Source organism: Homo sapiens, chromosome 9 (assembly GCF_000001405.40).
Source record: "Homo sapiens chromosome 9, GRCh38.p14 Primary Assembly".
Lineage (NCBI taxonomy): Eukaryota > Metazoa > Chordata > Mammalia > Primates > Hominidae > Homo > Homo sapiens.
Window position 1 is genome coordinate 81,883,453 of NC_000009.12, and position 14,649 is coordinate 81,898,101.

Genomic DNA, 14,649 nt, shown 5'->3' on the forward strand with positions numbered 1-14,649 from the left:
CTCACTCTGTTATCCAGGCTGGAGTGCAGTGGTGCCATCTTGGCACATTGCAACCTCCACCTCCTGGGTTCAAATGATTCGTGTGCCTCAGCCTCCCAAATAGCTGGGACTATAGGCACATGCCACCATACCCGGCTAATTTTTTTGTATTTTTAGTAGAGAGGGGGTTTCACCACGTTGGCCAGGCTGGTCTTGAACTCCTGACCTCAGGTGATCTGCCCGCCTTGGCCTCTCAAAGTGCCGGGATTACAGGCGTGAGCTACCGCGCCCAGCCTAGCAAGGTTATTTTTGGATATCAGTAGAGAGTGATGTTTTCAGGTACTTGGAAGCCCAGTTCAATCTAAATAAATCTTTCATCCTTCATACAACTTAAGGTTCCTACAACCTCCCACCCTCTGCCCAACACAATCCTGATGCAAAGCTTGGGTTCAGCAGTGGGAAGGATAGGCAATATCTGTTCTTTTACTTTCCCTTCCTCTCCTGACTCCCCTATACTCCAAGATTGTGGCTCTTGATAAATATCTAGTTTAAGAATAAGATACCAGCTTCTGACAAGCACCAGCACTCTATGAGTGATCCACTTAAAAGCCTTCCTCACTTGGCTCAGGCTGAGACCATCCATTTATTATCTCTACATAAAAATTCAGCTTTGAAAACTTCCTTCCTAATGAATCTCTAGTTTTCTTTTTTACAGGCTGCTGGAGAGAACTGCAGTGGATAAGTTTGGCCCCCTCTTAGTAATTCCTGAGAGGGTTTGTCCATGCCTCTGTGGGAGGACTCTGTCACCTGTGTCAACAGCTTTGAGACTGTAGCTAAAATTGTGAGAGATCAGAAAATGTCTAATCGTACATCCTGTTATGTTTGCATATATTAAAATGCATATTGAAAGAAGCAAACAGGACTATATAAATGGAAGGAAGAAAGTGAGAAAAAGAAAAGATTATCAACAAAATTGAGCGAAAGAAAAACAAGAGGAAGTGGAGAGAAAAAAAGAACAAGAAAAACTCCTAACTTAGATGTCTTGAAATGCCTCCTAACATTTTGCTTTGCATTAGTTGACTCTTAGTTTATGGTTGCCTTTGGATATTAAAGCCTAATATTTTATTTGGAAAGAGTCCAATATAGTGAAATAAGTAATTTTTTTTTCTTTTTTTTTTTTTTTTGAGACAGAGTCTTGCTCTGTCGCTCAGACTGGAGTGCAGTGGCGTGATCTCGGCTCACTGCAACCTCCACCTCCCAGGTTCAAGTGATTCTCCTGCCTCAGCTTCCCAAGTAGGTGGGACTACAGGCACCCACCACCATGCTCGGCTAATTTTTGTATTTTTAGTAGAGATGGGGTTTCACCATATTGGCCAGGCTTGTCTCAAACTCCTGACCTTGTGATCCACCCACCTCGGCCTCCCAAAGTGCTGTGATGACAGGCGTGGGCCACTGTGCCCAGCCTAAGTGATAATTTTAAAATGAAGAAAAGGCATTTAGGAGCCCTGCATTAAATTGCTAAAATTATTCTTACTATTATTATTATTTTTGGAGATGGAGTCTTGCTCTGTCATCCAGGCTGGAGCGTAGTGGCACCATCTAGGCTCACTGCAAGCTCCGCCTCCCGGGTTCACGCCATTCTCCTGCCTCAGCCTGCCGAGTAGCTGGGACTACAGGCGCCCGCCACCATGCCCGACTAAGTTTTTGTATTTTTAGTAGAGATAGGGTTTCACCGTGTTAGCCAGGATGGTCTCAATCTCCTGACCTCGTGATCCGCCCGCCTCGGCCTCCCAAAGTGCTGGGATTACAGGCGTGAGCCACTGCGCCCGGCCAAAATTATTTTTTAATTGTAGCAGACATTGAAATTATTCTTCTACTACCCATTTCAGTTCCCTTGAGTGACAACCATGATGTTTAGGAGGAGTGGACCTCATATTCAGATCCAGAAGAGGGACCTGATTTTCTAGATCACTGAGAATAATTCCATTTCCTTGTCATAGGGATTGATACGAATTTAAGTCAATTAGAGGATGGCACTTCCCTAGCTACAGAAATAGGATCAGAATCTATGGCCATATCACCCTGCGCATGCTTGATCTCAGAAGTTAAACAGGGTTGGGCCTGGGAAGTGCTTGGATGGGAGAAATAGGATCAGGGTAGTCCAATCAGAGTGAAGCTTGGGACTTCTGTATGGAGGTCCTAAAAACTGGCCTTGGCCTTAGCTCTGTGTTGGATGTGAATGAGAAACCATCACGAATGCTGTTAGCAGTCATTTTATGAGGCCAGCCTGAGAACAAAGCCAACATTTAGAGGCAGAAAAAACTGAGAGGATTGCAGGAAAAATTGAGCCAGAGCCTGGACCAAACCATCCCTGGATCAAGCCATGAAAAGTCCTGTGGACTTTTCAGTTACAGGAGCCAGTAAATTCCCTTAATTGTTTAAGCCAGTTGAATAGCTTTTCTGTTACTTGACACAGAAATAATCTCAATCGATAGTTCCTTTGTTGTGCTTGAGTAATTTAGGCTTAATTGAAACAAACAGGCCTCATTAAAAAAGGGTACATTTATAGCTTCAGAATATAAAATACATTTATTGTTTTTGTTATATGCATATTGTAAAGGATCAAAACTAAAGTCCCAAAAGCCAAACCTCACTGTCTCATTCACAAAGAATATGGGCTATGAAATTTTAAGAAAAGCAAACCATTATAATTAAAGTTGTTTGAAGATAAAGAAAAAATTATGGATGAGCCAAAGCTGAAGCAGTTTGAAAGAGCAACAGATATTTTGACAAACTTCTGCCGAGCTAGGCAGAATAGAAATGAAGAAAAATGGATACCAGTTTAAGATTTGTGGTTTGCTCATTACTTTCATGTATATTATCACACTGAATTCTTATAATAAGCCTTTGAGATTGCAATTATCCCCTCCCCCACCCCACCACCATTTGTGGAAAGAGGCTCAGAGAGGAAAAGTAATTTTTTCAAGATCATATAGTTATTTAGTATCAGAGGCAGGATTTGAGCACAGATTATGCTCTTTCTACAAACTTGCTGTTTCCTTATGATATATAGCTGGAAACTCTAGGGGTCCTTAATGCCAGCCAGGGTTGGAACAACTTAGCTGAAACTGTCATCCCCTGGTTTCGGATGCATGTAGCAGTTGCTCCATGTGCTGGAGGTGCCTTATATTTCAGATCCTAAGCTTTAGCTATTTTGGATATTATTTAATTTACAAACAAGACTGGCCTGTTGCCTTGGGAATTGCAATGCAAGGAAAGATTTGGACTCAGTAGTGTTTGCCTGCACATAACCTAACCAAACATAGGCTGCCTTATTCTGATGCATTGCCTTCTTCTTGTTTTTCTAAAAAGATTCACTAACCCTCTGCCAATATGATAAGTGTTGGGGGAAATGAGTTTCTGAATTGTCATTCTAGGAATTGCCTTTTGCAGCTGAAACTTCACCACTTAGTTAAGCCCTCCCCTGCCATCTGCTCGGCTCCAAAACTGCTGCAAAGGTTGAGAGGAACTGCTAAAATTACAAAAAACCATATCTATGATAGAAATTCCATGGCATGAAATCTTCTCATTTTTACATCTTATTGAACACTGGCTTCAGAGGACCATACTCTTAAGATCACCAAGGATACTGTCTTCAAAGGCAGTCCTTTCATCAACAGACGATTGTTCACAAAAATTCATCTGAACCAACCTCATAGTCCATGCTTGCTCATCTCATCCCCAGCTCTGGGGCCAATCAAGCCTGAGAGAATTCAAGGAGACCTCAGTCAGTTTTGACAGCTTACTGTTATCTTAGTCTGTTGGTACATATGAAAGTAACTTACACAGTGCTGGGCACACAGTAGGCATTGTTCCTCAGGTCTAATCGGTAGATCTGCCCACGTTTATGAGCAAATTCATTGTCTTGTGCCCTTGTTCAAGAATCCACATCATTATCTTTTCTCTATGTCTCCAGTCTATAATTTGTCAGGAACTGAAGTTTCTTTTTTTTTCTTTTTGAGATGGAGCCTCACTCTGTCACCCAGGCTGGAGTGCAGTAGTGGGATCTTGGCTCACTGCAACCTCCGCCTCCCGGGTTCAAGTGATTCTCCTGCCTCAGCCTCCCAAGTAGCTGGGATTACAGGAACGTGTCACCACACCTGGCTAATTTTTGTATTTTCAGTAGAGACAGTTTTACCATGTTGGCTAGGCTGGTCTTGAATTCTCGACCTCAGGTAATCCACCCACCTCAGCCTCCCAAAGTGCTGGGATTACAGGCGTGAGCCACTGCGCCCGGCCAAGAACTGAAGTTTCTTTTATGATCAGTTCAGTCCATCTAAAGTCCTGGCGAGGTCTTTCATACTTGCTTCCATGTCTCTCTAACGTTTACTCATTCAATATAAGTGTTTATTAGATAATTTTTGCCAGTGTCAATGCTTGCCATGGAGATCCAAAGCGTCGTAGGTCATGTTGCCTAGAAACAGAGATTGAGATAGGAATTCTTAGGCAAGTAATTTAGTGAGGGAATGCTGCAAAGGTAGGAGGGATACAGTATAAGGTAGGGGAAGAAGCAAGGCAATGATGTGATTTGATGGGGCACTATGGAGAGTGAATTATACCCATACAGGTTATTCTCCCCATCAGCAAAGGTGCTGGGCTGTGATATCCCTGCCACCACCAGTGATTGGCTATGGACCACCCTGAGAGCAGGGATGAGTGAAAGTCCATGCAGACTCTCCAGCTTCTCCAGGCCAAGTGTATGAGCATGTGTACTGGTGAACACAGCTGTGTGATGACTTTTGTGTGCTCTGGGCACTTTTGCCTTCTAAGGGCTCCTTCCTTCATTAAACAATATATTAAAAATTAGGGTGGTGGGGCCAGGCACGGTGGCTCATACCAGTAATCCCAGCACTTTGGGAGGCCGAGGTGGGTGGAGCATGAGGTCAGGAGATGGAGATCATCCTGGCTAACATGATGAAACCCTGTCTCTACTAAAAAAGTACAAAAAACTTAGCCAGGCGTGGTGGCGAACACCTGTAGTCCCAGCTACTCGGGAAGCTGAGGCAAGAGAATGGCGTGAACGTGGAAGGAGGAGCTTGCAGTGACCCCAGACAGCATCACTGCACTCCAGCCTGGGCTACAGAGCGAGACTCCGTCACACACACACAAAAAAAATTAGGGTGGTGGGCTGGGCATGGTGGCTCACACCTGTAATTCCAGCGCTTTGGAGGCCGAGGTGAGCACATCACCTGAGGTCAGGAGTTCGAGATCAGCCTGGCCAACATGGTGAATCCCCATCTGTACTAAAAATACAAAATTAGCCAGGAGTGGTGGTGCGAGCCTGTAATCCCAGCTACTTGGGAGGCTGAGACAGGAGAATTGCTTAACCCAGGAGGCAGAGGTTGCAGTGAACCGAGATAGCACTACTGCACTCCAGCCTGGGCAATAAGAGTGAAACTCCATCTCAAAAAAAAAAAAAAAAAATTCGGGTGGTGATGACCCCAACATTCCATCTGAATGCCTGTGCTGAAACCCAGAGGCTGTTTCTGAACCACTGCATAAAAAAGCATTAAAATTAAATTTTATGACTGCATTGATATACATATGAATATAATCCAGGTTGGAATATATTTGTTTATTTATTTTTAGATTTTGAAAGAGATTAAAACATTTTCATGGGTTTCTAAAAGTATCATGGGAACTTGGCATTGTGCCTACTGTGTGTAATGGATAAACTGACCCTGTTAGTGAAGTTGGAATCCTGTGGAGAGCCAGCCCTGTGTGGTTCAGGGATGCTGGGGTGCCAAGTGTGTAGCTGGTTCTGTGTCTGGTCTTTGCTTCCATTTCCTACCTGCCTGGATTCCAACTAAACCTATTACCTTCTTTTTCTAAAGTCCCTGCTCTACTGAGACTGTACTGGGTTGAACAACAGTGTCCCCCCAAAATTTATGTCCTCCTGGAACCTCAGGATGTGTCTTATTTAGAAATATAATCCTTGTAGATATAATTAGTTAAATTTAGGTGAATGTCCTGAATTAGGGCCCTAAATTAAATGACTGGTGTCCTTGGAAGTGGGGAGAACACAGAGGGAGGGCAACGTCACAGCCATTGACTATGGAGGCAGAGATTGGGGTGATACAGCCAGAAGCCAAGGAAAGCCAAGTTTCCCAGCAATTACCAGAAGCTAGAAGAGAGGCATGGAACAGTTTCTTCTTTAGAGCCTTCAGAGGGAGCATGCGCCTGCTGACACCTTGATGCTGAATTTCTAGCCTCCAGAATGATGAGAGAATACTTTTTTTTTTTTTTTTTTGAGACGGAGTCTCGCTCTGTCGCCCAGGCTGGAGTGCAGTGGTGTGATGTCGGCTCACTGCAACCTCCGCCTCCCAGGTTCACGCCATTCTCCTGCCTCAGCCTCCTGAGTAGCTAGGACTACAGGCGCCCGCCATCACGCCCGGGTAATTTTTTGTATTTTTAGTAGAGACGGGGTTTTACCGTGTTAGCCAGGATGGTCTCAATCTCCTGACCTCATGATCCGCCTGCCTCGGTCTCCCAAAGTGCTGGGATTACAGGCGTGAGCCACTGTGCCCGGCCTAAATTTTGTTGTTTTAAGCCACCTAGCTTGTGAAACTTTGATGTGGCAGCCCTAAAAACTAATACAAAGTATCCCTGCAAAATGTCTTGTTTGAATCTTAGGCCTCTGTGGCTTTGATTATCTCGGCACAGTTGGGCCCAGATTCCTAAACTCTTTGCCCGTTACTTTCTAGAGCTTGCTGTCCACTTCCCAGCACAGATATATAATCCTGCAGTACTGAAGAGCAAGCAGAGAATTGCACAGGTCAGAGAAGTTGCCAAGGTAGCCTTCACCCTACCAGAGTAGCTCCCTTCCTTCATTGCATCACACTTCCTATCAGCAGTGCTGGATGCCAGAAGAAAATGTAACAATGTCTTCAAAGTTCCAAAGAAAATTATTTGCTTTTGAAGACAGGAAGAGGAGAGGAAGCGAGGTGCACTTGTTTAATATCTTTCTATTATCCCCAGTTCAGAAGGAATAGCCATAAATACCTTGTCCATAAAACAAATGTTTTCTAGTTTTTTAGCTATGTTAACAACAACAAAAAAATTGGTTGAGAAATACATGTAGGCGGGGCATGGTGGCTCATGCCTGTAATCCTAGCACTTTGGGAGGCTAAGGCGGGGTGATCATGAGGTCAAGAGTTCAAGACCAGCCTGGCCAACATGGTGAGACCCAGTTTCTACTAAAAATACAAAAATTAGCTGGGCATGGTGGTGTGTGCCTGCAGTCCCAGCTACCCAGGAGGCTGAGGCAGGAGAATTGCTTGAACCCGGGAGGCAGAGGTTTCAGTGAGCCGAGATCGTACCACTGCACTCCAGCCTGGGTGACAAAGCGAGACTCTGTATCAAAAAAAAAAAAGAAAGAAGTACATGCAGATATGAAGATGATATGCTGCAAAATCTCATAGACTATGTGTTACTTGAGAAGAAGGACCATATCTTTTTACTCAATGCTCAGCATCTAGTAGAGTACCTGGAATATCATAATTTTCCAGTAAATGTTTGCTGAGTGAATTTATCTGCTATTGCATTAATCACCAAGCTTATTTAGCTCAGGTGGGTCACTGGGCAGATGTCCGGAGTTGCAGCACATGCACAAACCCTGAAGTTGCATCATTTGAATAGGATCTTGCTTTCTTTGGTGAGATGTGTGAATGAATACTTATGTTCTCCAGGTGGTACCCCCTGGTTTGATCTTGAAAACTCTTGAACAAGTCTTCAAGATCAAATACTCTCCACTTATCTGTTGATACACTTGTCCTTTAGATATAGAAATAATTCAGGAATACCAATACAAAGTCAAAATTTGACAAGGGAAAATTTTTGTAAGTGATTTAACATACTTTATTTCTAGTAAGTTTTTGTATATGAAAAGTAATTTTAACATTTACTGAGTACTTATTATAAACCAGGACTATGCTAAGCACAGTCTATGTAGCATGTCACTTAATCATCATAACTTGCCTATGAGTTTGTAAATTATCATTGCTTTATTGGTGAAAAAACTGAAATACAGATGGATTAATAAATATGCCTATATGTGGCAAAGGTGGGATTCAGATGGTTGTTTTCCTAAATGAAAAACACTGTGCCAGTTGGGTGTGGTGGCTCATGCCTGTAATCCCAGCACTTTGGGAGACCGAGGCAGGTGGATCACTTGAGGCCAAGAGTTCGAGACCAGCCTGGGCAACATGATGAAGCCCTGTCTCTACTAAAAATACAAAAATGAGCTGGATGTGGTGGTGCGTGCCTGTAATCCCAGCTACTCAGGAGGCTGAGGCAGGAGAATCGCTTGAACCAAGGAGGAAGAGGTTACAGTGAGGCGAGATCGAGCCACTGCACTCCAGTCTGGGAAACAGAGTGAGACGCTGTCTCAAAAAACAAAACAAAACAAAACAAACACTGTGCTGATGAAGCTGAAGCTTTAGTGTACTGAAAATCATCTAAGGGAGTTTAGGCCAGGCGCGGTGGCTCATGCCTGTAATCTCAGCACTTTGGGAGGCCAAGGCGGGTGGATCATGAGGTCAGGAGATCGAGACCATCCTGGCTAACACGGTGAAATCCCATCTCTACTAAAAATACAAAAAATTAGCCGGGCATGGTGGCAGACGCCTGTAGTCCCAGCTACTCAGGAGGCTGAGGCAGAAGAAAGGCGTGAACCCGGGAGCCAAGATCGTGCCACTGCACTCCAGCGTGGGTGACAGAACGAGACTCTGTCTCAAAAAAAAAAAAAAAGGAAATCATCTAAGGGAGTTTAACAAAAATGCAGATTGTTAGGTTTCACTTCTAGAGAATCAATGAGTCTAAGGCTCAAGAATGTACATCTTTAACTATAACCCCGGTAAGTTGGATCAAGTGGTCCATGAACCACACTTTGAAAAGCACTGCTCTGTACTATGAGATGCCAAATACACAGTGTGAATTATTTTGTATCCAACAATATTTTATTCAACACAAGTTTCCACCTTGTGTATATCTAGCTGTCCCAGCACCATTTATTGTAATGACCATTCTTTCTCCATTGCTGGTAGTTTCATTTTTTGTCGTAAATCAAGTGTCCATATGTACTCAAGTTCTAGGCATGACTCTCCTATTTTATTCTCTCTATATAATCCCTATCATCATCCATTGTAAACACACTTTGAGAAATTCTTCTGTGGATCAAAGGGCAAGAAACCTTGGAACACCCCATGAATCATTTTATGAGTGGGCATAATATCAGTAAAATTTAGAGATGGTCATTTAGAAAGCAGTGCCCAGCATTTCCTGGAATCCTCATTTAAATATATCCATATGATCTACCAAATACAATTTCTGATGTTTTCAGAAATCTGTATATAGTTCAGTAACACCCAGGAACTACTCTTTTTCCCCTCTCTATTTTCATTGCTTTCCTTCCCCAAAACCTCCTTTGCCAAATCAGTAGTACAACATTTTGGAAAACAAGTCCTCTTTTATTAAGAGCACCTTATCTGACATTCAAATGTCATCAGGAAAGAAAGACAAAATATAGACTTAGTTATTTATCTCTCAGCTGTTCTACCTTTGAACAAAGTTTTCTCCTCCCAGCAATTTGCTACTGCCTCAAATAGGGTGCCTGTTGTAAATGTAGCTTGATTGAGTTAGATTTAAAAATGAGAAAAAAGGCCAGGCACGGTGGCTCATGCTTGCAATCCCAGCACTTTGGGAGGCTGAGGCAGGCGGATCACGAAGTCAAGAGATCGAGACCATCCTGACCAACATGGTGAAACGTCATCACTACTAAAAATTTAAAAATTAGCTGGGCATGGTGGTGCATGCCTGTAGTCCCAGCTACTCAGGAGGCTGAGGTGGGAGAATTGCTTGAACCCAGGAGGCAGAGGTTGCAGTGGGCCAAGATTGTGCCACTGCACTCCAGCCTGGCAACAGAACGAGACTCCATCTCAAAAAAAAAAAAAAAAAAAGAGAGAGAGAGAAAAAACCCCTCAATATATTATACATACTTGCCTGCTGGAAAAAGAGACTTCTGTTTAAATGTAGTTTAATACCAGCAAAGTAATTTTGGTCAAGCAAGCTCTTAAAAACAACTTTTAGGCCAGGCACGGTTGCTCACGCCTGTAATCCCAGTACTTTGGGAGGCCGAGGCTGGCGGATCATGAGGTCAGGAGTTCAAGACCAGCCTGGCCAAGATGGTGAAACCCTGTCTCCACTAAAAATACAAAGCTTAGCCGGGCGTGGTGGTGAGCGCTTGTAATCTCAGCTACTTGGGAGGCCGAGACAGAGAAATGCTTGAACCCAGGAGGCAGTGGTTGAGCCGAGATCTTGCTACTGCACTTCAGCCTGGGCGACAGAGTGACACTCCATCTCAAAAAAAACAAAACAACAACAACAAAAACAAAACAAAAAACCCTTATTTTTATAGTATTATATAAAACAAGTTAAAAAGATTGCATTTGTGATGAATCACAGGTTAGGAAACTGAGGAACACAGCTGTGAAATTACTTAGCTAAAACCATGAAGGAAATTGTATAAACAACACGAGATTTTACTGCATTGCTTTTCAGTGAGTTCTGAGGTTGGAGGCAGTCACCCAGCTGGATTCCCAGGGAGGGCAGCAGCTTTCCATTAGAAATGGTTCAGGCTTGCAATACCCAGTTTCCATTTATATCTGTAGTTGTGGATAGTCAAGTGGTGACCCAGCTGGTCACAGGAAAAGTGTGTGGGCTAAATGAAGGGTTGCTATTCGCATGATTACGGTATCACCACCTCCAATTCTGAACAGCACAGAATTTTTCAACAGCACAGAAAGGGACTTTTTGTTTTTTTCTTCAGTATATGGGGTGTGATGGCCTCAGAATGAGCCATGTTATGTGGTATATACCATTTCTCCATTCTCTGTCAGTAAGAAGCCCAACAACTAAGTGTGGAAAGAATTTCAATTATTCTGTAGCCAACTGCCCAGCATGTGGGACCTCAACTGATGAACTGATGATCAACTGGGGAGAAGCAAACAGGTTTGGAGACCTAAGAAGTCACCCATAGCTACCATGCTAAGATGTGCATGGGCCCTCCACTTTCTGCTCTGAGAGCATAGTTCTCTACTTTTTTTTTTTTTTTTTTTTGAGACAGGGTCTCACTCTGTCACACAGTCTGGAGTAGGGTGGCATGATCTTGACTCACTGCAACCTCCACTTCCTGGGCTTAAACAATCCTCCCACCCCAGCCTCCCAAGTAGCTGGGATTATAGGCATGTGCCACCATGCCCGGCTAATTTTTGTATTTTTAGTAGAGATGGGGTTTCACCATGTTGTCCAGGCTGGTCTCAAACTCCTGGCCTCAACTGATCCACCTGCCTTGCCTCCCAAAGTGCTGGGATTACAGGTGTCAGCCACTGCGCCCAACTTCTCTACCTTTTGAGCATAATTGGCTGAAAATTTCCTCCAGTAGTGTGCATAATTATCCCAATGACCAGTACTTTCTCTGTGCTAGTCTAGTCATATTTTATTGTCATATTGGAAATAAAGGTCATTATGTTAATGGTTGAAGTGGATGTTTTGGGTAGCCATCATCCCTGATGGGGGAGTGGGCAGTGCTGGGGAACAGGATGGTGAGTCATATCTGTAAGAGAAAAGGGAATTCCCTTTGAACATATTTCTCAAGCTTCTCTGATAATACGGGTTACCTGCAGTGTTGGTTAGACATACAGATTTCCAGGCTTTTCCTTTGGGGATGCTCATTAAGATTGAGATATGTCCCTGGAATATGTATTTTTAATAACCATGTGATTTTTGTCATTAGAGAAGTGTGGGAAGCACTACCCTATGTAGTATGATTTTGAAAAAGTGGTCAGAGACTGGGAGTCCCTGATTCCCAAATATCCACCATCATTGCCTTAGAATATTTCTCTCTTTCTTACCACTTTCTCAAACCTCTATTGTCTACCTCCCACTAATTACCACTCAGTCCCACCTGGTTGTCTTATTCTTACCTCAAATTTATCGTGTCCTCATCATTTCACCTCTGTCAACAATTTCCATTCCATTTCAAGTCATACCCATTCTACACACTGAGTCATAGTGGCACCAAGTGATTTGCTATTCCACCCTATATCATGCTCTTCAAACCTTTTTACGTTTCCACGTTGCATTTTCTGCATACACTGCCTTCTCTCACTATTCAGCCCATTGCACTTCTGTTTCTTCTTCAAGAGTTCATACATCATTTCCCTAGGGAAAGCTGGCTAACCATATGCAGAAAGATGAAACTGGACCCCTACCTATCACCATAGACAAAAATTAACTCAAGATGGATTAAAGATAAATGTAAGACCTCAAACTATAAAGTTTCTAGAATAAGATCTAAGAAATCCCCTCTGGACATCAGCCTTGGCAAAGAATTTATGACCAAGTCCTCAAAAGCAATTGCAGCAAAAATAAAAATTGACAATTGAGACCAAATTAAACTAAAGAGCTTCTGCCAGAAAAAAAGAAAAAGAAAAAGAAAAAAAAAACTATCAAAAGAGTAAATAGACAACTGACAGAATGGCAGAAAATTCTCAAACTATGCATCTAATAAAGGATTAATATCCAGAATCTATAAGGAACTTAAATCAACACACAAAAAAGCATAACACCATTAAAAAGTAGGCAAAGGACATGGACAGACACTTCTCAAAAGAAGACATACAAATGGCCAACAAAAGTACAAAAAAATGCTCAGCATCACTAATCATCAGAGAGATTCAAATCAAAACCACAATGAGATACCATCTCACATCAGGCAGAATGACTATTACTAAAAAGTAAAAACATAACAGATGCTGTCAAGGCTGTGGGGAAAAGGGAATGCTTATCCACTGTTGGTGGGAATATAAATTATAGGTTAGTGCAAAAGTAACTGCAGTTATTGCCATTAAAAGCAATGGCAAAAACCTCAGTTACTTTTGCACCAACCTAATAGTTAAGCCACTGTGGAATTAATTTGGAGATTTGTCAAAGACCTAAAAGTAGAGCTATCATTTGACCCAGCAATCTAATCACTGGGTATATACCCAGAGGAAAATAAATCATTCTACTAAAAAGACACATGCACTCATATATTCATTGCAGCACTATTCATAATAACAAAAACCTGGAATCAACGTAGGTGTCCATCAGTGGTGGACTGGATAAACAAATCACGGCCGTAATCCCAGCACTTCGGGAAGTCAAGGCGGGTGGATCATGAGGTCAGGAGCTCGAGACCAGCCTGGCCAACATAGTGAAACCCTGTCTCTACTAAAAATACAAAAATTAGCTGGGCGTGGTGGTGCACACCTGTAGTCCCAGCTACTTGGGAGGCTGAGGCAGGAGAATCACTTGAACCTGGGAGGCAGAGGTTGTGGTGAGAGATGATGCTACTGCACTCTAGCCTGGGTGACACAGCGAGACTCTGTCTCAAAAAAAAAAAAAAAAAAAAAAAGAAAATGTGGGACATATACACCATGGAATACTATGCAGCCATAAAAAGAAGAAAATCAAGTTCTTTGCAGCAACGTGGATGCAGCTGGAGGCCATTATCCTAAGTGAATTAACACAGAAACAGAAATCCAAATGCTGCAGGTTCTTACCTGTAAGAGGGAGCTGAACACTGGGTACTCATGGACATCAAGATGGGAGCAATAGACACTGGGGACTCCACAAGGAGGGTGGAAGGGATGGGGAAAGGGCTGAAAAACTTCCTGTTGGTTACTATGTTCACTCTCTGGGTGACGGGATCATTTATACCCCACACCTCAGCATCAAGTAATATACCCATGTAACAAAGCAGCACATGTACCCACTGAATCGAAAATAAAAAATGGAAAACAAAAAATAAATAAAACTAAAATAAAGTAAAAGGAAATCTTCTGTAGCTCCTCCAGGAGGAGTTAATTCTTGCCTCTATCTTCTGACACTTTGGATTTCTGTTGTCTAGAATGCAGGGTGCATTGTAATTATTTGTTTTCTTGTCTGTCTCTCTCAGTAGGCAGCATGCGTAGGGACAATGCCTTTATCTTTATATTCCAGTGCCTAGCAGAGTATACAGTGGGAATTTTAGAGATATTTGCTGAGCAAACTTTAGACTTTTAATAACTTTATTAAATGTTACTATCCAATAAAAAGATATGGGTTAATTTTAAAAAGTCATTTGAGAAAGACACATGTACACACATGTTTATAGTAGCACAATTTGCAATTGCAATGATATGAAACCAACCTAAGGGCCTATCAAGAAATGAATGGGTAAAAAAAATGTAGTATATATACACACCATAGAATACTACTTAGCCCTGAAAAAGAATGAAATAATATTTTTTGCAGCATCTTAGATAGAGCTGGAGGCCTTTATTCTAAGTAAAGTAATTCAGGAATGGAAAACTCAATATCATATATTCTCACTTATAAGTGGGAGCTAAGCTATGAGGATGCAAAGGTATCAGAATGATATAATGGACTTTGGGGACTCAGCGGGGAAGGGTTGGAAAAGGGTGAGGGATAAGACTATATATTGGGTACTGTGTACACTACTTTGGGAATGGGTGCACCAAAATCTTAGAAATCACCACTAAAGAACTTATCCATGTAACTAAAAACCAC

The 14,649-nt window shown here is 42.4% G+C and overlaps 1 long non-coding RNA gene, 1 other non-coding gene and 1 pseudogene across 3 annotated transcripts in view; 2 read left to right on the plus strand and 1 right to left on the minus strand.

Moving 5' to 3' along the window:
- Positions 2,044 to 2,146, plus strand: RNA5SP287 (RNA, 5S ribosomal pseudogene 287; annotated as a pseudogene).
- The window catches only part of LOC105376105 (uncharacterized), a 91,092-nt gene continuing 78,988 nt past the window's right edge, over positions 2,546 to 14,649 (minus strand). For both annotated transcript variants that reach the window (NR_188610.1, NR_188611.1), the window contains exon 6: positions 2,546 to 4,453. This is a non-coding gene — a long non-coding RNA (uncharacterized LOC105376105). The remainder of the gene's footprint in view (positions 4,454 to 14,649) is intronic.
- LOC124900283 (small nucleolar RNA SNORD95) lies at positions 5,466 to 5,533 on the plus strand. The gene has a single exon (XR_007061914.1). It is a non-coding gene; the product is annotated as a small nucleolar RNA SNORD95 (small nucleolar RNA).